General features: G+C 44.9%; 1 protein-coding gene across 8 annotated transcripts in view, besides 1 other annotated feature; it reads left to right on the plus strand.

Moving 5' to 3' along the window:
• The window catches only part of RALY (RALY heterogeneous nuclear ribonucleoprotein), a 90,974-nt gene that overhangs the window by 20,816 nt on the left and 45,115 nt on the right, over positions 1-25,043 (plus strand). For 3 of the 8 annotated variants that reach the window (XM_011528695.4, NM_016732.3, NM_007367.4), the window contains exon 2: positions 16,796-16,878. The exons of 4 other annotated variants lie outside the window; for them this stretch is intronic. The gene's annotated coding sequence lies outside the window, so the exon portion shown is untranslated. Of the gene's footprint in view, positions 1-2,688; positions 2,780-16,795; positions 16,879-25,043 lie in introns of those variants that run through there. One more of the 8 variants, XM_047440015.1, reaches the window with a different exon arrangement.
• Positions 10,337-10,631: a silencer, noted in NCBI's record as "tiled region #13564; K562 Repressive DNase matched - State 14:Gen5'". NCBI's record gives its function as "represses a minimal TATA promoter and a strong SV40 promoter by Sharpr-MPRA in K562 cells {active_cell/tissue: K562}" and the evidence as "EXISTENCE:reporter gene assay evidence [ECO:0000049][PMID:27701403]".

Genomic DNA, 25,043 nt, shown 5'->3' on the forward strand with positions numbered 1-25,043 from the left:
GAAGGGTTTCTTAGAAATACATTTAGTAATGTCCCCAAGACATTAGTCTTACATTTAAACTTTTTTCTTTAAAACATGGTATTGGTTGTTAACCTTTACACAGTTCTGAGTACTGTTAATATCTGGAAAGTATCTTGAGATATCAGTGGAAAGCTAAACAGTCTAAATTTAACATGAAATACTTCTTTATGATTCAGAAAATAAAATCAGATTTTTTCAAAGTCAAAAAAAGAAATGTGACAAAGTGCTCTGGAAATTTACTGGAATTCTTGAGAGAGAACTAACTGGAAGAAATCTTGGAAGCTTCTAGAAGCTGGTAGCATTTGAGCTTGTCCTTAAAGATTCAGGAGTTCAGTTGGCAGAGATGGTGGGAAGAACATTCTAGATGGAAGGAATGGTAGGAGTAAAAGTAATGAGGAAGTACGGAAGCCAGGCCCTACCTACTAATCCACCTGTCCCCCTTATTCAGAATTTCTGCCAAATGTGTGCTAAATCTCTGTGGGCCAGCCTAAAGGATATTTACTTTTCTTCCTATTCTTTCCTTCCCTTCTTCCTACCTCTTTTGTCCTTTTTGCCTTTTATTTTTTGTTTCTTCTCAATATTTCCCCCTTTTTTTTTAAATCTCCCCCTTTCTCCAGTCCTTCATAAAAAAACAAAAAAGCAAAAAACTTTATTTACCTTTCTCTACCTACTTCTTTTTTGCACTTTTCCTAGGTAACCCAAGAAATCCAAGTCTTTGGGTGGAGATGTGAATCAGCCATACAATGTTTAACTCCAAATAACACCTCCCCTTGTGAAGCTGAGAAGTAATTGAGGCATAATTGCTTCTCATCTGTCTCTTGTGTTTTATTGGCATAGACTTTTTTTTTTTTAACCTCCCACAGTGCTGGGGGTGTCATTATCATTTTATTTTTCGTAGTTGTCAAAATGTCAATTTTAATGAGAAATTTCTGCAGATAGGTTTGCCCTTGAGTGGTAGGAGCCTTCAGGCAAAGCCAGGGCTAGATGAGTCAGGAATGTTCATGGATCTGTTTTCTCATGCATACAGGTGTATAGGCCACACAGAGGCAGACACCTACTTTTCCCCATCCCTACAGGCTCAATGCTTTGCAACATGTGCACACACACACACACACACAATTGATGTGCATGTATGTCCTCTCTTCTATACACAAAGTATCTCCCTTACACTTTCAAGCCATCTATTCCTCCTCCTCCCGTATGTGCACACATTTACCCTCTTACACCCCTGTCCCACTGTCTTCTACCCAGATACCCAGAATTGTGTGTGCTACCAAAGTATCTGCAAGCCTAACTCAGACACCACACTGTTCACTCCCTTACATCTGCGCACAAGTCCTCCCCTCCACACATGCCCACATAATCTCTGCCCGTGCCAGATGCCACACACCGAGTACCACAGCATCCTCCACATTTCTTTATACCCAGGTGCTGTCACCACCACCCCTTAGGTTTCTGTATCTTCATAACAGACATTTTAGTTTCAGACTAGTTTTGAAAGGAAATGTTCTTTGCTGACAGCCAAGCTAGCAGACTGTTAGGAAGTTGGAACCATTTATGATAGATCCTTTGGATTCAGGCCGCTAGTATAATGATGGGGGTAGGGGAGGACTGGATCAGACAATAGTGGGCTACCTCTGAATGTTACTGTTTATGACCCAAGGTGAGTTTGAACCTGAGTTCACTGCTATTGGAAGGTGATCCCCATACTTAGCACAAGAAAGCCAAAGCTACTGCATGTGTTCCAAATCAGAATCTCTGGGGTCAGGCATAGAAACTGATGTTTTTAATGAATTCCTTGAGTCCTTCTGTTGTGTAGCCAGGTTGGGAAACACTTATCTAGAGAAAGAACTAGAAGTAAAAAGATATGCATTATCTTCTGATACCACCTTGGACAAGTTTCTTTTCTGGACATCAGCTTTCTCCACTGAAATATTAAAAACCTATACTCATAAAGGACCCTTTCAGTTCTAAAATTTCATGCTGCTTTATGATGAGTTTAGTCTGGGATCTTTTTCTACCTCATAGTGTCCGTTCTCTGGGTCTGCCTGGGGCGGGGCATTTTAGGGCATTTGGCCAGAGGCCAGCGAGGCAGCCCAGGCCCTGACCTTCTGCCAGAAGCACTGACACAGCTCCTAATTAGAAATGGATCAATATGGGCCTGTAGCCAGGCCTGGGGAGCCTGGGAGGAGGCTGGAGCAGTGCTCCTAGGTAGGGAGAATGATTACCGTGAAATGGATCTGGTTACACTTGTCAATACAACAGTTCTGCTGGTGTAGCCCACCTCCCCTGGGGACCAGCAGGCAGGGCTACCCTGAACAAACGGGGAAATGGTTAACTTGTATCCCTATTTGATGTGTTTTCCTCACCTTTATAAACTCTTACCTAATGTGATGCTAGGTACATCGTATAGGCCCCCTCTTCAGATGGAAAAATCACTTATTGAATACCTACTAAGTGTTAAATACTGAGCCTCATTGTGTTTATTTCTCCTTGCAACCTACTGGCATAGGAAGGAAAGGAAACTGAAGCTCAGAAAAGTCAAAATGAAGTGACTTGGCTGCCCATTGTCATATAGCATAATCTCTATTGTACTATGCTATTAATACATTTCTGAGCATTTGCAACACCGATTCCAATCTGATGAACTGTTTTCTACCAGGGCCCTCTCTTACTTACCCTTCTACAGACTGAACGGGAGCTCAGGCTGTCTCCCTGGAGCTGTTCAAAGACTGGAGGAAATTCTTTAAAACCTGTGGTAAGGCAGGTGCAGGGGGTGGAGAGGGATGCTCTGCTTGCTTTTACTTTCTCTTGCTTTCTCATCTCCTTTCCAAGTTCCCTAAGGGGTGAGCAGGCTCTAATGGGAGAGATCAATCATCATTTGGGATCAATGGGAAGGTTTTCTCCTCTACGGAGTGCAGAGTCAGGTTTCTGAACTGGCCTTGTGCAAGGAGAGGGAAGGGATTCATAACTGGATGCATTGGAGAACCTGCAGGCTTAACATGCTCAGCAGCCAGTGTGGTCAGACCAAATTCCTCCTATAGTTGGTCATTCAACAGATACTTGTTGAGTGTCTCCTGTGTGTCAGGGCTTGTGCTAGTGCTAGGGATTCTTAGATGACCTCACAATCTAGCATCAGAGTCAGACAAAGATACAAACCACAGTATAATGTATGTTCCTTGATAGAAGAGTTTATAAGGAATTCTGAGATTCCAAAGGCATGAATGGGGGTTCTCCTAGGGGATGTAATTATGATCTGTGTTTTGAAGGAAGAATGAAGGGTAAGAGTTAAGCCAGGAAGGGCACTCCAGACCAGGGAACCAGCACAAACAAAAGCATAAAGATGTGTCCAGGAATTACTGGTAAAGGGGTGGGCATTAGAGCAGTACCTAACGTGTAGCAAAACAGATGGACTGCTCTGAGCCCTTATCCTTTGCCAGATTTAAGGTTGTAGTAGTAGCCATTGGATGGCAGTAATGCAGGTGCAGCAGGTAGGGAGGAGAAGATTGATTTATTAGCAAGTACCAACTGAAACTTATTTCTAGACTTCTGTGGGGGAGAAGGGAGGAAGCCTGAAGAGCAGCAGTCCTCTGTCCTCTGGGCCAGACCTGCAGAGGTGTTGTGGTTCTTGGCATTGGTTTGAAAGTTCGTCTGGCCCAGGCAAATAACCTTGCTTCTCTCATGGCAAAATCTTCTGCTTCACACAGCCTGCCCCTCCTTTCTGTGTTCTTTTACAGAAAGAAATTAATGGAATCTGTTCAAAATACCCCTGAAATGAAATTACATTTTTAACTCTAATTACCCTAATTAAAACTTGACAGCCGTAATCCTGGAATGGAAGATATGCTAAGTACCCCTTGCCTGTGACAAGCTCACTTACCCAGATGGAATGTTGTTCTGTTCTGGGTTTAGAAGAAAATTTCTTTTGGTGTTTGTTTTGTTTTTTCCATTAGCAATTTAGTCTTCCACCCCACAAATGCCCCAAGGTAGGATAGCTGTACTTGTGGACTACAGGTTTGCCCAGGACCCCTAATCTCAATAGAGGTTCCTTTGCATCCGGAGATGGAGCTCCTAATGATCCTTACTACATACCTTTGAGTTTTTTCTTCAGTTGAGGTTGAACTGCAGCCTTTCCCTCAGTGAAATCACCTGCCTTGGGGAACCAAGGATCTGTACTTGTTAGAAGGCTGTCTTCTGGTCTAGGGCTAAATACGGATTGGGGGTCAGTTTAGGGCTAGTATTTAGGATACAGTTTGAGCCCAGGGACAAGGAGGTCTAAAAATAGGATCCCTCGGCCGGGCGCAGTGGCTCACGCCTGTAATCCCACCACTTCAGGAGGTCGAGGCGGGTGGATCACTTGAGGTCAGGAGTTCAAGAGCAGCCTGGCCAAGTTGGTGAAACCCTGTCTTTACTAAAAATATTTTAAAAATTAGCCAGGCCTGGTGGTGGGCACCTGTAATCCCGGCTACTCGGGAGACTAAGGCAGGAGAATTGCTTGAACCCGAGAGGTGGAGGTTGCAGTGAGTCGAGATCATGCATCTTGCACTCCAGCCTGGGCGACACAGCGAGACTCTGTCTCAAAAGAAAAAAAAAAAGGATCCTTCTGCTCTTCACATAGCTCCAGTTCCTTTAACTCAGCACAGGTGAGAGCAACCTAGTGAGATGCCTGGTCTTGGCCTCTGCTTTAAGTGGTTACCTGGCCAGACCCGAAAACATGATGGGATGGGAGGTAGGGGCAAGCCCATAAAGCAGACTGAAGGATTCTTTGATGCTGTGGGTCGTCTCACATTTCTGCTAGAACCGAAGATCCCCATGTTCTAGTAATCTACTCAGCTTAGAAGCCTGTTCAGTAGGCAGACACTGGGTGCTCTGTTAGGTACTGCAAGGGACACAGAGTTGAGTAAGACACAGTCCCTGCTCTTGAGAAACTTAGAATTCTGGGGGAGTGGGGAGGTAGTGGTGGGTGAGGGACAACCATACACATACAAATTATGTAAGACAGAGCAAGCTTTATTCGGTAGATAGGAAGCTTGGCCGGGCGCGGTGGCTCACGCCTGTAATCCCAGCACTTTGGGAGGCCGAGGCGGGCGGATCACGAGGTCAGGAGATCGAGACCATCCCGGCTAAAACGGTGAAACCCCGTCTCTACTAAAAATACAAAAAATTAGCCGGGCGTAGTGGTGGGCGCCTGTAGTCCCAGCTACTTGGGAGGCTGAGGCAGGAGAATGGCGTGAACCCGGGAGGCGGAGCTTGCAGTGAGCCGAGATCCCGCCACTGCATTCCAGCCTGGGCAACAGAGCAAGACTCTGTCTCAAAAAAAAAGGAAGCTTGAGTGCCCACTGTGTACCAGGTTCTGAAAATAGTGTATAGACATATGAAACACAGTTCCTGTTTTTCAAGAACTCCCAGTAAATTAGATAGGCATGTGAAGGTTCACCGTAACACATGTAAGTGGAGGATGTGCTGGACAGATTACCTGGGAAGGAGGCTAGTCAGGGAACATGAGGAAGGATTAACTCCCATGGGGGTGAGGGGAGGAATCATTGGCAAAGACTTCTCCCAGGTGTTGGCATTTGGACTTGTCTCTGAGTAGATAATATTGGCAAAGGGATGGAGAAAGTCATTGAGGATGTTAGGGAACAGCATGAGGAATGGTAGAAGCTGCCAAATTACAACTCAGTGTGATTGGAGTGCAGTGTGCAGGAAAAGGATGTGGTAGAGGATGAATAAGGGTAGAGTTTAAACCATCCTGTAGGCAAAGGGGATCCACTGAGGTTACAGGACTGTGGTAGGAATAATGGATTAGTCAACAGGTGATTGGAGACAGATTAGTTAGAACATGTCAGCAAACTGGTGGGGCAAATCTAGCCCATTGCCTCTTTTGTAAAGTTTTACTGGAACACAGCCACACTCATTTGTTCATCCATGATTGCTTTTGCACTACAGTGGCAGAGTTGAATACCACGCAGACTATGGTAGCCCACAAAGCCTAATTACTATCTGATCCTATACAGAAAAAGTTTGCTGACCTGTAAGAAAGAAGGTAGTTATGCAAGTTCTGTAAGAGAAGATAAATGTCAGAACTAGGCCTGAAATGGATTGCAGGTGTTTGAAGAAGGGACATGATTTAGTAGAGAACACCTGTCCTACCTACCGCTCAAAACTATAAAAATCAAATTTGCTGAAAGTCATTGTCTTTTTCTTTTTTTTTTTTAATTAGTTTATTTTTTTTGAGACAGAGTCTCACTCAGTCACCCAGGCTGGAGTGCAGTGGTGCAATCTTGGCTCACTGCAACCTCCGCCTCCGGGGTTCAAGCGATTCTTGTGCCTCAGCTTCCCAAGTAGCTGGGATTACAGGCGTGCACCACCACGCCTGGCTAATTTTTGTATTGTTAGTAGAGATGGGGTTTTGCCATGTTGGCCAGGCTGGTCTTGAACTCCTGACCTCAAGTGATCTACCTGCCTGGACCTCCCAAAGTGCTGGGATTTACAGGCATGAGCCACTGTGCCAGGCTGAAAGTCACCGTCTTAGTCCATTTTGTGCTGCTGTAACAGAATACCATAGACTGAGTCATTTACAAACAATAGAAGTTTGTTTGGCTCATGCTTCTGGAGGCTGGGAAGTCCAAGATCAAGGGGCCGCCCGCATCTGGTGAGGGCCACGTTGCTGCATAAAAACCTGGCAGAAGGCATCACATGGTGAGAGAGAGTGGGAGGGCTGAACTCACTTTTATAATAAACCCACTCTCAAGATAGCAGACACTTTCCTGCAGTAATGACATTAATCCATTCATGAAGGCAGAGCCCTCATGCACTAATGTTGCCTCTCAGAGTCCCCTGTCTCAACATTGTTGCTTTGGGGATTAAGTTTCCAACACATGAGCTTTAGGAGACACATTCAAACCATAGCAGTCATGGCCATAAAAGGATACTTGATACACAGGCAAGTCCTGATTTGCCTTTATTAGCTGCGTGACCTTGGGCCAGTCACTTAACTCAGAAGTTCGGGTGAATATAATAAGTAGAATATGGTGAGTAGAATAAAGAAAAGACTCATCAGTCAGATCTTCCTCAGGAGACGGAACTCTTTTTAAAAAATTTGTTCTTTTAAATTTTTTTATTATTAAAAAAATTTTTTTTAATTTGTTCTTTTAAGTTTTTTTATTATTAAAAAAAAATTTTTTTTTAAATAGAGACGGGTCTTGCTCTGTTGCCCAGGCTGGTCCTCAACTCCTGGCCTCCCAAAGTGATCCTTCCACCTTGGCCTCCCAAAGTGCTGGGATTACAGGCATGAGCCACCACACTCAGCCTTCTCTTTCTTTCCTTTTTTCTTTCTTTCTTTCTTTCTTTTTTTTTTTTTTTAATAAAGACAATGTCTCACTTGGCTGCCCATGCTGGTCTCGAACTCCTGGGCTCAGGTGGTCTCCTGTCTCGGCCTGCCAAACTGCTGGGTTTATAGATGGGAGCCACCATGCACAGCCTGGACAAAGCTCTTATTCTCTTCTCTATACCTTATACCTCACCCCTAGTTTTTAAGTTTGAGGGCCCTCTAGTGGAAAAGACAGATACCGTAGAAAATCTGGATCATAGTATGAGTTGAGAAGTTGGGGATGGGTAGGCAGAAGGTTTTGATCACTCAAAGCAGCTGATGTTGTGGGTGGAGGGGCTTATGATACTTTGAGACACCCTATACCTTTCCCCTCCATAACTGTTGACACTTGTTCTGGCCAGTTTGAACTTGTTTCTGCCCCTCAACTGCCAGAGCACATAAGGCCCCTACGAAACTAAAGGCTGGCTTTATCCCTCAGTCACCTTTACCAAACAGAAACTTTGTAAGTGCCACTTGATGTCCCTATGTGCCTCTCCCTGCCACTCTACTGAGCCTCCTATGCCTCACTTCCTTTTTCCTTCAGCACTGTGCATCTGCCCTGAAGGACGGAAAAAGTACCATCTAGGGAGACCACAGTGGTGAGTTTTAAGCTCATTTCTGCCTTCAGCTTCCTATGTGACCAAAGGCAATTCATTTCATGTCTCTGGCCCTTCTGTAGGCTCCAGTGCAGATTATCTTCAGCCACTTTTTGGGACTTGGGATTTCTTCTCTAAGCCTCCAGCTTCATAGCATAGCATTTTTTCCCCCAAAGTTCCCCTCTCTTTTCAATCTAGAATATTAGTATATGCTCAAAGATCATTTGCTTGAAATTCACTACCTTCACCTGTGAGGAGAGTAGTCGTATCTGTTTTTATTGGTAGAGTTCCAGGAACTGGCAGTCAGTCTGACTGCTAGAGTGGAACAGACCCCGTCAGCAAGGCATGATGTCTCCAGGATGGGCTGTGTAGTTCAGTACAGACAAACTTTTGGCCCTGGGAATCCAAGATACAGTAGAGGAAGAAGGGCCAGGCACTAGTCTAGGCAGTTTACGTAATTTTTTCCCCTCATTTATCTTCACTATTCTGAGGTAGGTGATTTAATCACCATTTTACAAATGTGAGGACTTAAGTTTTAGAGAGTATCATTTGGTAGACAGTGACTGACTCATTGTGGATACAGGAAAACAACTGAATATTTCTTGCTCCCAAGTAGGGAAGAGTGGTAGAAGAGACAGGCAAGTGAACGGTGGTCAAAGCACCAAGGATACCCAGTTTTGGTGGGAGAGCCATGGCTTAAACCTAGGTCTATCTGCTAATTGTTTCTACTATATGCTGCCTTCCTTACAGAGGGGTGGAGAGAGCAGCAAACCCAAGTGGACATCCAGGCTGGCAAGCAGTCTCTGGACAATGGCCATTGGTGGGGAGGCCTGTCCTTGGATTTTGAGTTGGGCTTTAGTTCGAGGGGGTGGGGGTCTGAAGTCTTAAGCGGGTGACTAAGGCAGGGGCTCTCATGTGGAGCTAACCCCATTTATAGAATAAAGCACCTAATTTTGTGCACTCTAGAAAGTGAAGCCTTATGGTCAGCACTGATCATATGCTGGAGTATCACAAGAGCCCCACAGTCAGTCTATGGTATAATAGGGCCAGAACCAGTCTCCTTATTCCCAATCAGGCCACCTCTCACCTCACTCAGACTTAATACAGTATAGAATAACTTTGGAGGGGACCTCAGTGTGGAGGCTGGAACTGCAAATTTCAAGCTTACATATCAGTTTTTGAATAGGTATTCAAAAACCAATGACAGGCTGGGTGTGGTGGCTCACGCCTGTAATCCCAGCACTTTGGGAGTCCAAGGCGGGCGGATCACCTGAGATTATCAGGAGTTCGAGACCAGCCTGGCCAACATGGTCTGAGTGAGGTGAGAGGTGGCCTGATTGGGAATAAGGAGACTGGTTCTGGCCCTGCCACTGACTTCCCTCTGTGACTTTGGACAGATTCCCCTCCCTGCTCTGGTCTTACCTCCCTTTTTATAAAATGGTTGAGCCCTTCCAACTCTGGTCTCATCAGGGGCATGAAAGCCATTTTCTACACAGTCTCAGTTGCACAGAGCAGTGTCTGGTCGGAGCTTTGGTGTGTTGGTTACTGATTATAAAGCTTTAGATTCTCACTTCCAGCTCAAGAGGGGGAAGGGGAACCATCCAACTGTCTCATTAGCATGGAGAAAAGAAAACAGTAATTACTCGTGCCTCCCTTGATAATTCCTGCAGGGTTGGATCTTCTAGGGAAGGAGGAGGGGAAAACTAGAGATAGCTTCAGCTGAGAAAGGAGAAATGCTGTTAGCTGCCCAGAAAATGCAGAGGCAAGAATGATTGTCTTGCACATCTGTTGTATTCTGTGGACGTTCCTCCAGGCAGCTTGGAGACTGCCTAGATTGAGTTTCATCTATTTATGGCATGCATTATGTTCTCATACGTGAACATGGGTTGGGCTCAAGACCCCTAATGTCACCTGTCATTAAGAAACCAGCTGTCCTCTAGGGCCTACTTTTTGATACACTGGGCATCCTGACACCTGTCTTTGTTTGGGAGTATGGGAGGGTTTTACTGACCCATTTTGTGTCCTGGCTGCATTTTTTATTATGTTGTGAGGTCATTTTTTTTACCCCCACAGCAACACAGCCAGTAGTTTTATTATGCCTGGGCATAGGCAACCATACAGTAGAGCCAGTCACAAGAGTCAAGGTCAGGTATCCTTGTGAGGGGAGGAGTCTGGGAGAACTGCAAGACCATGGGGTTTAGTAAAGGCTGGGATAAGCAAGCCTTACAGAAGGGTTGAGGCAGTTTTGAGGCTGAGGGGTTAGGGGGAGCTGGAACCCAACTGTCAAATAGATTGGCAAGTTGGCTTGTGGGACAAGGGCTATTTGCCCTGTGCCTTTGCCCTGTGCCAGTCTTTTACTCCCTGTGTGTGGTCGGTTGTGAGCCCTGAAGTGCTGACTCTAGCAGAAATGCGTTGGAGGCTGCCTTCAGGGGAGCCCTGCCTGAGGGAGCCTGGAGCCATTAGGCTGAGATTATCTCCCGTGGCTGCTCACTGGTGCCTTGGTTGCCACCCCAGAGGCCTAGAGAACGCAGCTTCCCTTTCTCTTCCTCTCTCCTGAGGAAGATAACCCTTCAGCAACACGTCTCTCTCTCTCTCTCTTTTTTTTTTTTAAGACAATCTCAGTCTGTTGCCCAGGCTGGAGTGCAGTAGTGCAAACACAGCTCACTGCATCCTCCGCTGCCCGGGTTCAAGTTTTTCTGCCTCAGCCTCTGGAGTAGCTGGGACTACAGGCATGCACCACCACACCACACCCAGCTAATTTTTGTATTTTTAGTAGAGACGGAGTTTAGCCGTGTTAGCTAGGCTGGTGTCGAACTCCTGACCTCAGGTGATCCGCCCACCTCAGCTTCCCAAAGTGCTGGGATAACAGGCGTGAGCCACCTCACCTGGCCCAACACCTTTCGGTCAGTCTTCCTGCAGGCCCTGGAGCTTGCTTATTCTAAACAACAAGAGTTCTGTAGGGACATGCTATTTTAAAAAAAAAAAAAAAAATTGTTTTACAAATGTAGGAGATTATTTCCTCTGTTAAAATCGTCTTCGGTCCCCAGGGAATGCTCCCTTTCTCTTGTCCCAGACCGTTTGCTTGATTCCCCACCCTTTGATGTCCACACCCAGGCTTCCCATAATTTTCACTCTTCATTCACTTCCTGGCTCCTTTCCCTAGCTTCCAGCAGTAGATTCCTGGTTGTTTTTTTTTTTTTTTTTTTTTTGTGGGGGGTGGGGATAAGGAAGGTTTTTCAACAAAGCTTTCATGATGGGGAGCTACTGGAGAAAGGTCCAGAGGATGTCAGTAACCCCTTAGCCACAAGGAACGATATACTCCCAAGGCTTGTTAGCCTGGAGTAATGCTGGTAGAGGAGGAAGCTGTGACAAGAGGAAGAACCTGCTTGTCTTCTGACCTCTGCAGGCTTCAGCTTAAACCTGGCAGAGGTTGGGCTGGGGCAGGGCAATAGTGAGGGCTGAGGGTTGGAGCCCTGAGCAACTTGTCGATAAGTGTTTCACTTTACCTCCTATTGACACATTTAGTTTGGAGTTTGGACAAGCAAACTCCCTTCATTTAACATTTACAAAGAGGAATTCCTGCTGCTTCTCTTTTAAATAAAAGTCCTTGGTTCTGGTATCGGAAGGAAAAAGATCTTTTCCAAAGTCTAGACCTCAGACATTTTATTTATTTATTTATTTATTTATTTATTTATTTATTTATTTATTGAGGCGGAGTCTCGCTCTGTCGCCCATGCTGGAGTGCAGTGGCGTGTTCTCGGCTCACTGCAAGCTCCGCCTCCCGGGTTCACGCCATTCTCCTGCCTCAGCCTCCTGAGTAGCTGGGACTACAGGCGCCCGCCAGCCATGCCCAGCTAATTTTTTTTTTTTTGTATTTTTAGTAGAGACGGGGTTTCACCGTGTTAGCCAGGATGGTCTCTATCTCCTGATCTCGTGATCCGCCCGCCTTGGCCTCTAAACCTGAGACATTTTAAACCTGCTCAGGTGTCTCCTTCCTTACCTGTTCTCCCTTCACCCCTTTCCCATCCTCTTTTCTCTGCTCCCTGCCTTTGCACTCCTTACATCTCCCTTGACTTGTGAAAACAAGAATGGGAAAAGGACACCTTAAGCCAACAGATTAGTAGATATTCGGTTGATATTCATACTGGGGCTGAGACTCTGAATATGGAGCTTGAGATTTTGGACTTCTAGTCCTCAGAATAAGAGTTGCCGGGCAGGTTTTGTTTATTCCTTTATTTACTCACAGATACTTAGGCTGACACAGAGCCTGGCAGGTAGTTCGTAAGACCCTAATCCTACATGACCCAAGACCCATATGACAGTTCATAAGACCCTAATCCTGCCATAAGGTCACAATCTTACGGAGAAGACATAGCAGCAGTGAGCACACAACCCCCACTCCCTCCACATCCCCCGTTCAATGATTGAATTTTGAGGTTAGAAAGAACTTTAGTTTTTCTGGTCTTCTTTCATGTTGCTGTGTAATAAGTAAGGCAGATCATGAGAGTACACAGGCTCTGGAGTAAAGTAAAGCAGACCTGGGTTCAAATGCTAGCTTTGTTGCTTACTAGCTGTTTGACCTTGAATGGCACACTTAGCCTCACCTGTCTTCAGTTACCTTGGTTGTAAAATGGACATGTCATCACCTACTTCACAGGGTATCATAAGGATTAACAGTTTAACACCCAGCCGTGTGCCTGAGGCATAGTAGCAGCCCATGTCTTTCTGTCACCTTGCATCAAGGCCTGGCTTAAATCTTTGCTTCTTCTGTGAAGCTTCTGAGACAAACCCAGGTCAGACTGATTTGTTTCTTCACTTCCACAATACATAACATTCTTTGAACTGTTAGATCCTGCCTATTATTAGTAATTTTTTGTGGGACATCATAGTCCCATCCTGAATGCCAAGTGCCTAAGGATAAGGACTGTTCTCAATCATCTGTGCATCCTCCATAACCCCTTATTCAGAGCTGTTTACACAGCAAAGCCAACCAGTACAGCTAGTATCAGGAAATATTTTTTGACTAATTAGATAGAAGGTTCATGTATGTACTCTGTTATTCAGCTTACAAGAAGAACCATAAAAGACCTGGCTGGGACTCTCCCATCCTAACTCTGCCCTTTTCCTCACCTGTTACCACATTGATAAAAACATGTGATTATAAAATCCTTGTGTTGGCAGTATAGGAATTCCCATTTTGCAGATGGGGAATCTGAGATGCAGATTAGAACTCAGGTCTCTTATTGGGAGGTAGATCCAGACTAAGTAGGAGGAATAGAAACAGAAATCTTATAACTGGCTGGGCGTGGTGGCTCACACCTGTGATCCCAGCACTTTGGGAGGCCAAGGCAAGCAGATAACTTGAGGTCAGGAGACTAGCCTGGCCAACATGGTGAAACTCCGTCTCCACTAAAAACACAAAAATTAGCCAGACGTGGTGGCACGTGCCTGTAATCCTAGCTACTTGAGTGGCTGAGACAGGAGAATCGCTTGAAACCAGGAGGCGGAGGTTGCAGTGAGCTGAGATTGCACTACTGCACTCCAGCCTGGGCAACAGAGCAAGACCCTATCTTAAAAAAAAAAAAAAAGAAATCTTATAACTGACTAGGTCTCCATTCTTCAGAAGTAGTAGGAATTTCTACAAGGAAGAAGGGGAACAGGGGTACTGTATTCCTGAGGCCTTAGCTGATGGTGAGTGCAGAAATGAATATACCCACAAGCCGGAGATGTTTCAAGAACTTGGCAGATTTGGGAGGCCGAGGCGGGCGGATCATGAGGTCAGGAGATCGAGACCATCCTGGCTAACACGGTGAAACCCCGTCTGTACTAAAAATACAAAAAATTAGCCAGGCGTGGTGGCAGGCACCTGTAGTCCCAGCTACTCAGGAGGCTGAGGCAGGAGAATGGTGTGAACCCGGGAGGCGGAGCTTGCAGTGAGCCTAGATCGTGTCACTGCACTCCAGCATGGGTGACAGAGCGAGAGACTCCATCTCAAAAAAAAAAAAAAAAAAAAAAAAAAAAACATGGCAGAGAGAGTGGCAAGAAAAGGGTTCAGGATTACGTCATAGATTCACTAGGCCTTGAAAATTAAGAAGGGTTTGAATGTGTGTAAATGAAGAAGGGCAATTCCAGTGAGACAACAGTGTGGACCAAAAATATGAGAGCTGGAAAGCCCACGGTAGAAGTAAGGCGGATGATGACCAGATACTGGCATACCTAAGAGCAAGGCTGAGGTGACTGGGAGCCATGACTTTTTTTGAGCAGGGAAGTGTCATTAGGACCATTAGTCTGGCTGTGTGGGTCTAATGGATTGGAATAGGAGGGGTAGGGGAGACTAGTGAAACAGAGACCAGGGAAGAGACTCCTGTAAGTCTGCCTTTGTAATGTCAGTAAGTTTCAAGAAATATGCCAGCAGTGCAAGCAAGAGATAATGTGATCCTGAACCAAGAGGAAGTTGACATAGTAGGGAATAAAGAATTCTTTGAGAGGCCAAGGCAGGTGGATCACCTGAGGTTGGGAGCTTGAGACCAGCCTGACTAACATGAAGAAACCCCGTCTTTACTAAAAATACAAAATTAGCTGGGCATGGTGGCCGGCACCTGTAATCGCAGCTACTCAGGAGACTGAGGCAGGAGAATCGCTTGAACCCGGGGGGCCGGGGGTTGCAGTGAGCCAAGATCGCGCCAGGATATTCCAGCCTGGGTGACAGAGTGAGACTCTGTTGCAAAACATAAAGAAAGGAAGAAAGGAGGGAGGGAGGGAGGAAAGGGAGGGAGGGAGGGAGGGAGGGAGGGAGGGAGATGATTTGGATGTAGAACTCTTAGAGGGGGAGAAAAAAAAAACCCACAAGGATTTGGCAGTTGTGGGAATGGGGAAGAGAGAGAAAGAGGGGTTGAGAGCATGAATATTTGGAGTCTAAGTACCCCGGAGAATGGTTATGCCATTCTCTGAATCATGGAGGCTGGGAAATAGAAGATGAATTGAGTTGGTTGACTTGTTGATTGGAGGTGTCCATTCTTGACTCCCTGGTGCCTCTGCCTTTGTCTTTTGATCCAGAGCTGCAGAGATCCTTTGGTTCCTTGTGCTTGCTGCTTTGTTCCAGACCTGGAGGCCCCCCGCACCCTCAATCCCTTCACTCATGACTTGGAGCAACTTTCATTCCCTCTGAAATAAAACAGTGCTTAGGCCAGTACCTAGTCTGTTTCCAACTGTGCGGTAAATGCCTATTAAATGGCCGTTGTTATTATAGCTTTGAGATTACAGTAGCTAGAGATTAGAGAAGCCTCTGGAACCACCTGGCTGAAGGACTCAGGAGCCATTCAACTTGTATTCAGTAAAAAGCCTGGACTGCAAGTATATGGAGAGGATGTCAGGCTTGGGTGTAGATGGGTGGGGAACTCTGAGCCATGTAAACTAGAACAAGAGAACATGTTTCCTGCCTTCTGTTTTTGAGAATTGTTATATATAATGTGAGATTAAGAGGGCAAGCCCTGGAGTTGGACTTCTGGGTTCAAATCCCAGCTCCACCATCTTGTTAGCTGTGCAATGGGCAAATGTACTTAATTTCTCTGTGCCTCAATTTCTCCATTAGTAAAATAACATACCAACCTTACAAGATTGTTGTAAAGATTAAATGAGTTAATACAAATAAAAGGTTTACATCAGTGCCTGGTATGTGCTGCTATTCTTATTCTAGAGTCTGCTCTATTCCATTCCACATTCCTGGGAACGAATATATAGGGATTTCTCTTCTTCACCATCCTCACCCAGCAGAGGAGGGAGCTGAGCACAGAAATGTGAAATAAATCTCAGAGTCCTTGAAAGTTTGTCTCAGCTAGAATCCAGGTGATCTAAGCCTGGAGGAGCCTGGGCCACAAGTGAGACAGAGTTAGAGTTGTCCAGAAGACCTGAGTTTGACTCCCAGTTTTACCACTTGACTTATTTTGATCTTGCGCAAGTAACCTAGTCTCTGAGCCTTAGTTTTCTCATATGTAAAATACAGAACAAATTCCTTCTTGTGTCTCTTGTATGTACCTCATTCTCCTTATGACTCCACTCTAGCTATATTATTAGTCTTCTTGTTCCTTAAACATACCAAGGCCTCAGGGCCTTTGTACTTGCTATTCTCTCCCTGGAACACTCTTCCCTCAGATCTTTTCATGTCTTACCCCAGACTTCATTCAAATCTCTCTGGATGTGACCCTTTGTAGAGGCCCCTCCCTGACCATTTTATCTAAAATAGACTTCACCCTTACCTTTTGTCATTCTTTATTTCCTTACCTTGCTTTGCTTCCCTTCCCTCCCTCTCCCTTTCCCTCCCCTTCCCTCCCCTTCCTCCCCCCCTTTTTTTGAGATGGATTCTCACTCTTGTCACCCAGGCTGTAGTGCAGTGGCACGATCTCGCTCACTGGAACCTCCGCCTCCCAGGTTCAAGCGATTCTCCTGCTTCAGCCTCCCAAGTAGCTGGGGTTACAGGCGCCCACCACCATGCCTGGCTAATTTTTTTTTTTTTTTTTTTTTGTATTTTTAGTAGAGACAGGGTTTCACCATGTTGGCCGGGCTCGTCTTGAACTCCTGACTTCAGGTGATCCATCCCCCTCGGCCTCCCAAAGTGCTGAGATTACAGGCATGAGCCACCGCGCCAGGCGTGCCTTATTTTTCTTTATGGCACTTAGCACTACTTGAAATTATATACTGTAAATAATTGACCTGTCTTTTGCTAGGATGCAAAATGTGTGAGGGCAGGAATTTTGAATGCCTGCTGCCTGTTCTGAGCAGCACCCCTAATGGACTTCTCTCTCTATTGTAGGTGAGCCCTATTCCCAGAGGCAGGTGGTGCTGACCCTGTAACCCAAAGGAGGAAACAGCTGGCTAAGCTCATCATTGTTACTGGTGAGTGAGGTTGCCTGGGAAAGCTCTGGGCAAGCTTGGGCCAACATGGAGGGTAACTCGTTTGGGGATTGTTTTTACCTTTAGTACAGATAACTTACAAGTGATTATCTTCCTACTCCATGTCTAAAAGATTGGATGTTGCACAGGTAACCTTCTGAACTGGGAGGGTTGAGACTGCTCTCCTAGAATTGCCACAAGAATGTCTGAGATCATTTGCCATGAATAAGGCAGAGCAGGTCTGCTTCCTTCTTGCTTCTGCTAGCTGCTTTCTGCTGGGATGTGGCAGGTGGGGGGCTATCCTGGGACCTGGCGGCTATACCTGTCCTCTCACAAGCTCTTTAACATGACCTCACAGCCCTTAGAGACTTGTTTTTTGAGATGGAGTTTCGCTCTTGTTGCCCAGACTGCAGTGCAATGGCACGATCTCGGCTCAATGCAACCTCCGCCTCCCGGGTTCAAGCAATTCTCCTGCCTCAGCCTCCTGAGTAGCTAGGATTACAGGCATGCACCGCCATGCCTGGCTAATTTTGTATTTTTTAGTAGAGACGGGGTTTCTCCACGTTGGTCAGACTGGTCTCGAACTCCCGACCTCAGGTGATCTGCCTGCCTCGGCCTTCCAAAGTGTTGGGATTACAAGCGTGAGCCACCGCGCCCGGCCCCGTAGAGACTTTCTTAGCTTTAGTTTTTACTGTGATCTGCCAAGCTCATAGGTCAGCTCCAGAAAATCCTGTAGTTTCTTCCATTCTGCAAAATGTCGTATGAATAATGGTGAGAGTGGAGTGATTAGGGTTTTATGAAGTGGATGTCAGGGGAAGCTGACAGATGGTGAGAAGGAAGGAAAATCAACGCATTAAGAACTTACTATGTTACTGATCTCAATCTAGACAAAATCCCTTTTTGTGTGTTGGGGGGGGTTTTATTTTTGTTTTTGGGAGACAGGTCTCACTGTGTTGCCCAGGCTGGTCTCAAACTCCTGGGCTCGTGTGATTCAAGTGGTCCTCCTGCCTCAGCCTCCCGAGTAGCTGGAATTACAGATGTGTACCACCACAGCCTGCTCTGAAACCTCATTTTATAGATGAGGAAATTGAGGCTCAGGAACTGAAATAATTTGCCCAGGGTTTACACCTGGGAATCTATAAAGTTGATGTTAGAACCCAGGTCAGTCTGACCATAAATACCATTGTTCTTCCAGACCTGACCTTCCTTGGGCTGTTAATCTCCCTCTCTAATTCTGATTTTTCTTATAAAGTTCAAGAAGGCCTACTTACTTAGGGATTCAGAAAGGAGATTCAGTTGAGGGGCTGAACAGGGCAGGTAGGAGTTAGGGGTCCCTCTGAGCAGTGGTATTTCTAGTGAGGGGGACTACTAGACTGAAAGATAGGAAGAACCTTCAAGCAGGCAGAGGCCCAGGCTAAAAGTGACCACAAGAAGAAGAATACGTCTGTAACACATGGGATCTCATAAACACTTGGGCCAGTACAGGGTAAGGACCTGAGTGCTGGCTTGAAGTTGAGAAACCTAGGTTTTTATCTTCTCTCTCAACATGTGCCCTTGGACAGTCTTCATTTCCCTATTTGTAAAGTTGGAGTGCCTCCCTGTCCCCTCACGTCTCATGTGTGTACTCCTACCATGCAGGTATGTTACAGAGAATCAAATGAGAAATGCAAGTTGGAAAACTTTGTGAATTGTAAAGCAGCATGAACGAAACAAGAAAGTGAGAAGAAAGCATTTTAAGTGTCTGTCTTAGCTCGTTTTATGTTGTTATAAAGGAGTACCTGAGGCTGAGTAATTTATAAAGAGAAAAGGTTTATTTGTCTCACAATTCGAATGTCTGGAAAAGTTCAAGATTGGGTGTCTGCACCCAGTGAGGGCCTTAGGCTGCTTCTACTGTGGTGGAAAGGGAACTGCTGTGGGTAGAAATCAGATGGTAAGAAAGGGAGAGGGGAGATGCCAGGCTCTTCTTAACAACCATCTCTTACTGGAACAAAGAGAGTGAGAATTCACTCACTTCCCCTACCCTCCTTCCAGGGAGGGGATTAATCTATTCATGAGGGATCTGCCCCCAACGATCCAAACCTCCCATTAGGTCCCGCCTTAAACATTGGGGATCAGATTTCAGCAAGAGGTTTGGAGGAGTCCACCATCCAAAATATAGCAGTATCTGTAGCGTCCCAGTCCCTGACCTGTTTGCCGCCCCATTCCCCAAAAGTAAACGGGAGGGTTTTCCTTTGGAAATTTTCACTGTAAATCTTCTTCTGTGCCCTTCTCCTCCTCTCCTTTCTTTTGTGGGCCCTACCCATAGCTTAGTCTTTCCATAAGGAAAGGGATTCCAGGGCAGAGATGACAAAGCCAGGTAGCACAGGCAGCCACGATTTGCAATATGTGTGCTGCAGAGTGCAGGTTTGAGTGCACTCATGAACCGTGGTATAGGATACTACAGCAGTTCCCAAGAGCCCATCCCAACAGGAGTCAGCACTCCACTGAGATGTTGCCTTGTTCCCTGCTGTCATCTCTTGAAGAAGGCTATTCCTCTTTTGGCCCTAGGTTCCCTGCCTGCCTCTGCTTACTGCTAGTGAAAAAGGCTCTTGTGCTGTAGCCTCACATTTTATGGAGGCCATGGTCATTCCAGTTTTTCTACCATCTTGTTCTCCCCCTTCACCAACGATGGGGGCCATTCTCTTCGCACTGTGTTTTAACAATGGACATTCTGTTCTTCTGTCTGCCTGAGAGTGCACAGAGGGTTTTGACCCCTACCTTCCCTCCTACTCTGAATATCCAGGCTCTTGCTGCCACTTCTTTTTGCCTTGTTAATCTAAAGTTCTACAGCTTCTGGCCTTTCCCTGGCCTGGGTGCCAAGCTTGGATCTTATATGCTTCCTGTAACAACTGCCCTGTGAAAAAGCTCCACTATTAACTTTTAAAATATGAATGATTCCACGTAAATAAGTGTGTAATATATACATTTATATATGATAAGCTACCCATATAATAGCTTATTTATCTAACAGCCTCATTTTTCCAGAGTCCAACTGAAAAACAAGAGGGAAGTAAAGCATTGTCATCCTTAAGTATTTGCACAGTGCTAATTTATTCTTATTTTTATGTGTTGTTGTAACAAGTTTAGCATTTGGTTTCTAAAACCCCATAAGATTAAAAGAAGAATATCAAAAAAGGGAGAAGAGCTGCTATATTAATACCATCTAGGGGTGAGAGCTGAAAGCTGACTGAAAGGGGAGGGGTGAAAGAAGAAGTTAAAACAACAGTCTGGGCCGGGTGCGGTGGCTCACGCCTGTAATCCCAGCACTTTGGGAGGCCGAGTCAGGTGGATCACAAGGTCAGGAGATCGAGACCATCCTGGCTAACACGGTGAAACCCCGTCTCTACTGAAAAATACAAAAAATTAGCCAGGTGTGGTGGCGGGTGTCTGTAGTCCCAGCTACTTGGGAGGCTGAGGCAGAAGAATGGTGTGAACCCGGGAGGCAGAGCTTGCAGTGAGCTGAGATTGCGCCACTCTACTCCAGCCTGGGCGACAGAGCGAGACTCCATCTCAAAAAAAAAAAAAAAAAAAAAAAAAAAAAAAAAAACAGTCTGGAGGCCACTTAATTTAGGAGCAGCACCTCCACAAACATCGGTGTCCCTCAGTAAGATGAGGGTGGGGCTGGGTAATTTCTGTGGTAGTTTTGGGTTCCTCTCGAAGGCTAGAGTTATCAGAAAATGTTAATTATTTATAGTATCTACTATATATTATCAGGCACTATACTGAATGCTCTACATAAATATATTTCATTTTCATAGCAACTTGGCAGGTAGGTGGTGATATTCTTATTTTATAAATTACTTGAGAGTTAGAGAGGGACGTGTAGGCAGTGATCAGAAGAGCTAAGCTTAGAACCCAGAAGAATCTGGCTTCAGAAAACCAAGTTTTTTTATGATATCCTACATTGGCTCTTTCCCCACGACCTAAAACCCTGGTCCTCCTCAGCCTCTTGAGCTAGTAGTCCCCCACTCCTCCTTTTTGTTCATTCTCCTATATACGTTTTTCTTTTTAAAGATACACATTTATTCATTCATTCAGTGAGTATTGGAGTGTCTGTCATATACCAGGCACAGTTTCAAGTGTTTGAGGTGTAGCAGTGAATAAAATAGTTTTCTCTCTGTAGTTTACGTTCTAGTAGAGGAAAGCAGATAAATGAATAAATCTGAAGAAAAATAGCAGGGTAAGGGAATAGGGAGACACTGGATTATTAAAGAAGGCCTCTCAGAAAATAAAATTTGTGCAGAAATATGCAAGAACTGGAGTAGTGAGCTATGTGTATCTTTGGGGGAATAACTTTCTAGGCATAGAGCGTGCTTCTTGATTCTAAGGAACGAAAGGAGGCCAGTGTGGCTACAGATGGAGTAAACGAAGGGGGAGATAGGAATATGGAGAAGTCACAAGGGTAGACAGGGACCAGATCATGGAGAGCTTTATTCTGAGTTAAATAGGAAGACATTGGAGAGTTTTGAATAGAGGAATGACATAATCTGACATCCATTAAAAAAAAAAAAATTCCCCTGCCTAATTGTACCAGCTGGGATCTCTAGTACAGCGTTGAATAGAATTGATAAGAGCAGACAGCCTTCCTTACTTTGTTCCCAATTTTAGGAGGAAAGTATTCCATCTTTCAGGCTAAGGAAGTTCCCTTTTATTCCTAGTTTATTGAGAGGTTTCATTATGGATGACTGTTGGATTTTGTTGATTTTATGGTCTTTGTTCTTTATTCTACATTGACATTACATTAATTGATTTTCAGATATTAAATCAACTTCACATTCCTAGAATAAATCCCACATGGTTGTAGTGTATAATCCTTTTTATATGGAGTTAGATTTGATTTGCTGGGGAATATTGTTCTGTAGTTTTCTTAGGTCTTTATCTGCTTTTGGCATTAGGGTGGCCTCATGGAATGAATTGATGTGTTCCCTCCTCCTCTGATTTCTGAAAGAGTTTGTAAAGGATTGGTATTATTTCTTCTTTAATTGTTTGATAGAATTCATCAGTGAAGCCACATGGGCCTGGGCTTGTCTTTGTTGGAAGAGTTTAAAATTACTAATTCAAATGTCTTACTTGTTAAATCTACTTAGATTTTCTCTTTCTTTTTGAGTCACTTTTGATAATTTGTGTATTTTTAGGAATGTTTCCATTTCACCCAAGTTGTCTAATTTGTTGGTAATTTGTGTCTTTTTTTTTCTTGGTCAGTCTAGATACAGGTTTGTTGATTTTGCTGGTGTTTTCAAAGAACCAACTTTTGGTTTCATTGTTTTTCTTTTCCATTGATTTTTTATTATTTTCTGTTTTATTTATTTTGTTTATTGTTTTTATTATTTTCTAATTTCTGCTGCTTTGGGTCTAGTTTGCTCTTTTCTAGTTTCTTAAGGATTCGTTCATTGATTTTTGAGGCAGGATACACCCCAAACCAAACAATTCTTCAGGCTTGACTATACCAGTGGACTATCAGTTTGCTCCTTCTGATACAGTAGCCTCTGGAGAAGTATCAAACTTCAGAGGGGGCCTGATTCAGAAACAATAGGGAAGACAAGTGGCCTACAATGTATATGTGTTACCAGTAGAGAGGGTGCTAGGGCTAGACCCATAGTGCTCGGCAGCCTGGCTCCTGCCTGCCCCAAATCAGCACTGGGCAGGCTGAGCTTTGAGTAAGACATACGGGGGTGGTGTAGCAGGAAGTCAGGTGACACATGGCAAGCCAGGGCCTCCCAGGCTTCTGCAGAAGGTTGCCTGATACAGAGCTAGAAGAGACCGCTGCCCGCCTCATGGACTTCAGAGGCTTCACAGTGGCTTTTGGGGGACCATTCTGAACACCTCTTTTGCCTGTTACAACTGAAATTCTAAGCAGAGATTTGATTCCATTAAATAAGGCTTACAGTGCAGATGCCATAGGTAACATTGAGATAGGAGGGGCTCTGAGCAATGCCTGGCTTGCTGGTGACTTACTTGTGGCCTTTAGTTTCCTCATCTATAAACAAGGAATAATAGTTTCTACCCAGCGTACTGTGTAAAGCACATTTCAGATAAGTGCTATATAAAACCATTGGATAGTGTACAAATGTACAAGACTATTAATGTTAGTAATTACAGTGATAGGGACCTGGGATAGAGTCTGAGAAGGTCTAGGAGCAGTAGCAGTGCATCATTGTCCTTCAGGGTATGGGGATGAATGTTTGACCAGAGTGGACCTGATAGCTTAGAAAGGGCAGGAGACTCATTGTCTGCCAGTGTAATCATCAGATGGCTCCTAGAGAATTCTATGCAGGAGCGGGTATCTGTGGGGGAGGCTGCCAGAGCAGCTCATGTAAGAAACAGCTGTTCCTATTCACTCTCCACCCAAGGATTTTGGCCATATTTTATTACTTTGGTTCCAGAAACAGCTGGCTTGCTTGAGGATTGCTGTCATAGCAAAGCAATAACCTCCAGCTTGCTTGGGGGAAAGGAATTGCATGCAAAGGGCTCTGGGCTCTATGAGGTCCCGGGTTCCCCTGCTTCCTTCCCCAGTTTTCATTAAAACTAAAGAAGATCCTTTTGTCCCTTTGGAGCAGCAGGCCAGAGCAGAAGAACAGCCAAACAGGAGAGGGACCTGTAGGTTAGATTAACTGGAAGGCAGTTCTAGGGATTTTGGCTGTGGCAGTGAGACAGGGTCCTGAGCCTGAGAACATGGCCAAGAGAGCAAAATCTAAGCTGGATAACAACAGCTTAAGAAACCAAGGTCTGTGAGCGTTGGTGGTTCTAGAACCTTGAGATGAGTGAGAGATGAATAAAGGGGTCTTATTGAATGGGACAGATTGGGGGGTGCTCAAAAGCTACTTTACCCCATTAACACAAAGCAGAAATTGCTTCTTTGGAATTATCTGTCATTGTATTATTTGAGTCTCCACTATCCATCCTTCCCCTCATTGCCACCTCCCATATCCCCAATTAACGTAAACTGTCAAGAGTCAACAATTCTGAGTACATAGGGCAAGAGGTAAAAGATAAAAGATATCTGTGGTATAACTGGTCTTTAGGAAGATGAAGTAACTGCATCTTTCCCACCATTGTGTGTATTCTTAATACCAAGATTTGGGTCCTTGATCTGACATTTATTTTCTGTGTGACTAACTTCTCTGAGCTGTAGTTTGCTCATATACAAAATGGGAATAATAATGCCTACTTTATATAGTGATTGTGTTGCTAGTAGATGAAGAAAATACCTGGCCTGGCTTGGCGTTCAATCACTAGTGATTGGAATAAATTCTGATACCATGTGTTGAGTGTCAGATTGAAGTAGGAGAGTGTGGCGATCCAGGCTCTTAACCTTGTTCTACTGACTCAAACCTGGGAAAGCATTTTATACCTGGGCCTCTTTTTCCTCAGTTCTACAAACAGGGAATGAGGTAGAAAGTTGGTCTGTAATTGCTGATGTTTCTTCCTGTTCTGTGTCTCCAAAGGCGCATTGGTCTGTGGTCCAAGGAGATTAAAGAGTCAACAGGGACCTAAGAGAAGTCTCAACTTCGGTCCTGCTTAAGCCTGCAGCAGGAACAGTTAAAAACAAAAAGCCGCTATCTATAGTAAGGTGTTAGAAGTGGCTGGGAGTATGCTGCAGGGGCAGTGACCTGCCTGTCACCCAGCATTTGGAAAATAAATGTCAAAGAGAAGATCATAATGGCCTAGAAGGTTGGAAACTGAGTAGCTAGCAAGTGTGAGAGAGGGACCATGAGACATAGGACCCAGATTGTGCTCTATCACCCACTCATTGGGTGTTCCCAGTCAAGCTATTTCTCTTTGCATCCTCCATATCCCCATCTGTAAAAATGAGTTAGGCATTGTATTCTCCAAGTGCCTCTTCAGGGCTTTCTGAAATTTCATTGGCCCCTTTTTTCTGGCTCTTGTGTTTGTACTCTAGCTTTTGCCTTTGGTACTGAGGATTTCATTTATGAGAAGGCTTTTTAACCAGCCAGGCTTTGTCTAGCCCTAGAGTATTTAGAATGCTCCTGAAACTATGATTTCAGGCCATTCAATTTGCATCTAGAAATGCCTTGGTTCACCTGATCCTACTCCCTCATTTAACATTGAGAGATAATGCAACAGAGAAGAAAGACTACAGGCTTGACAAATGACCCCCAATTCAGATT

This window comes from Homo sapiens, chromosome 20 (genome assembly GCF_000001405.40).
Source record: "Homo sapiens chromosome 20, GRCh38.p14 Primary Assembly".
In the NCBI taxonomy this organism is placed as follows: domain Eukaryota; kingdom Metazoa; phylum Chordata; class Mammalia; order Primates; family Hominidae; genus Homo; species Homo sapiens.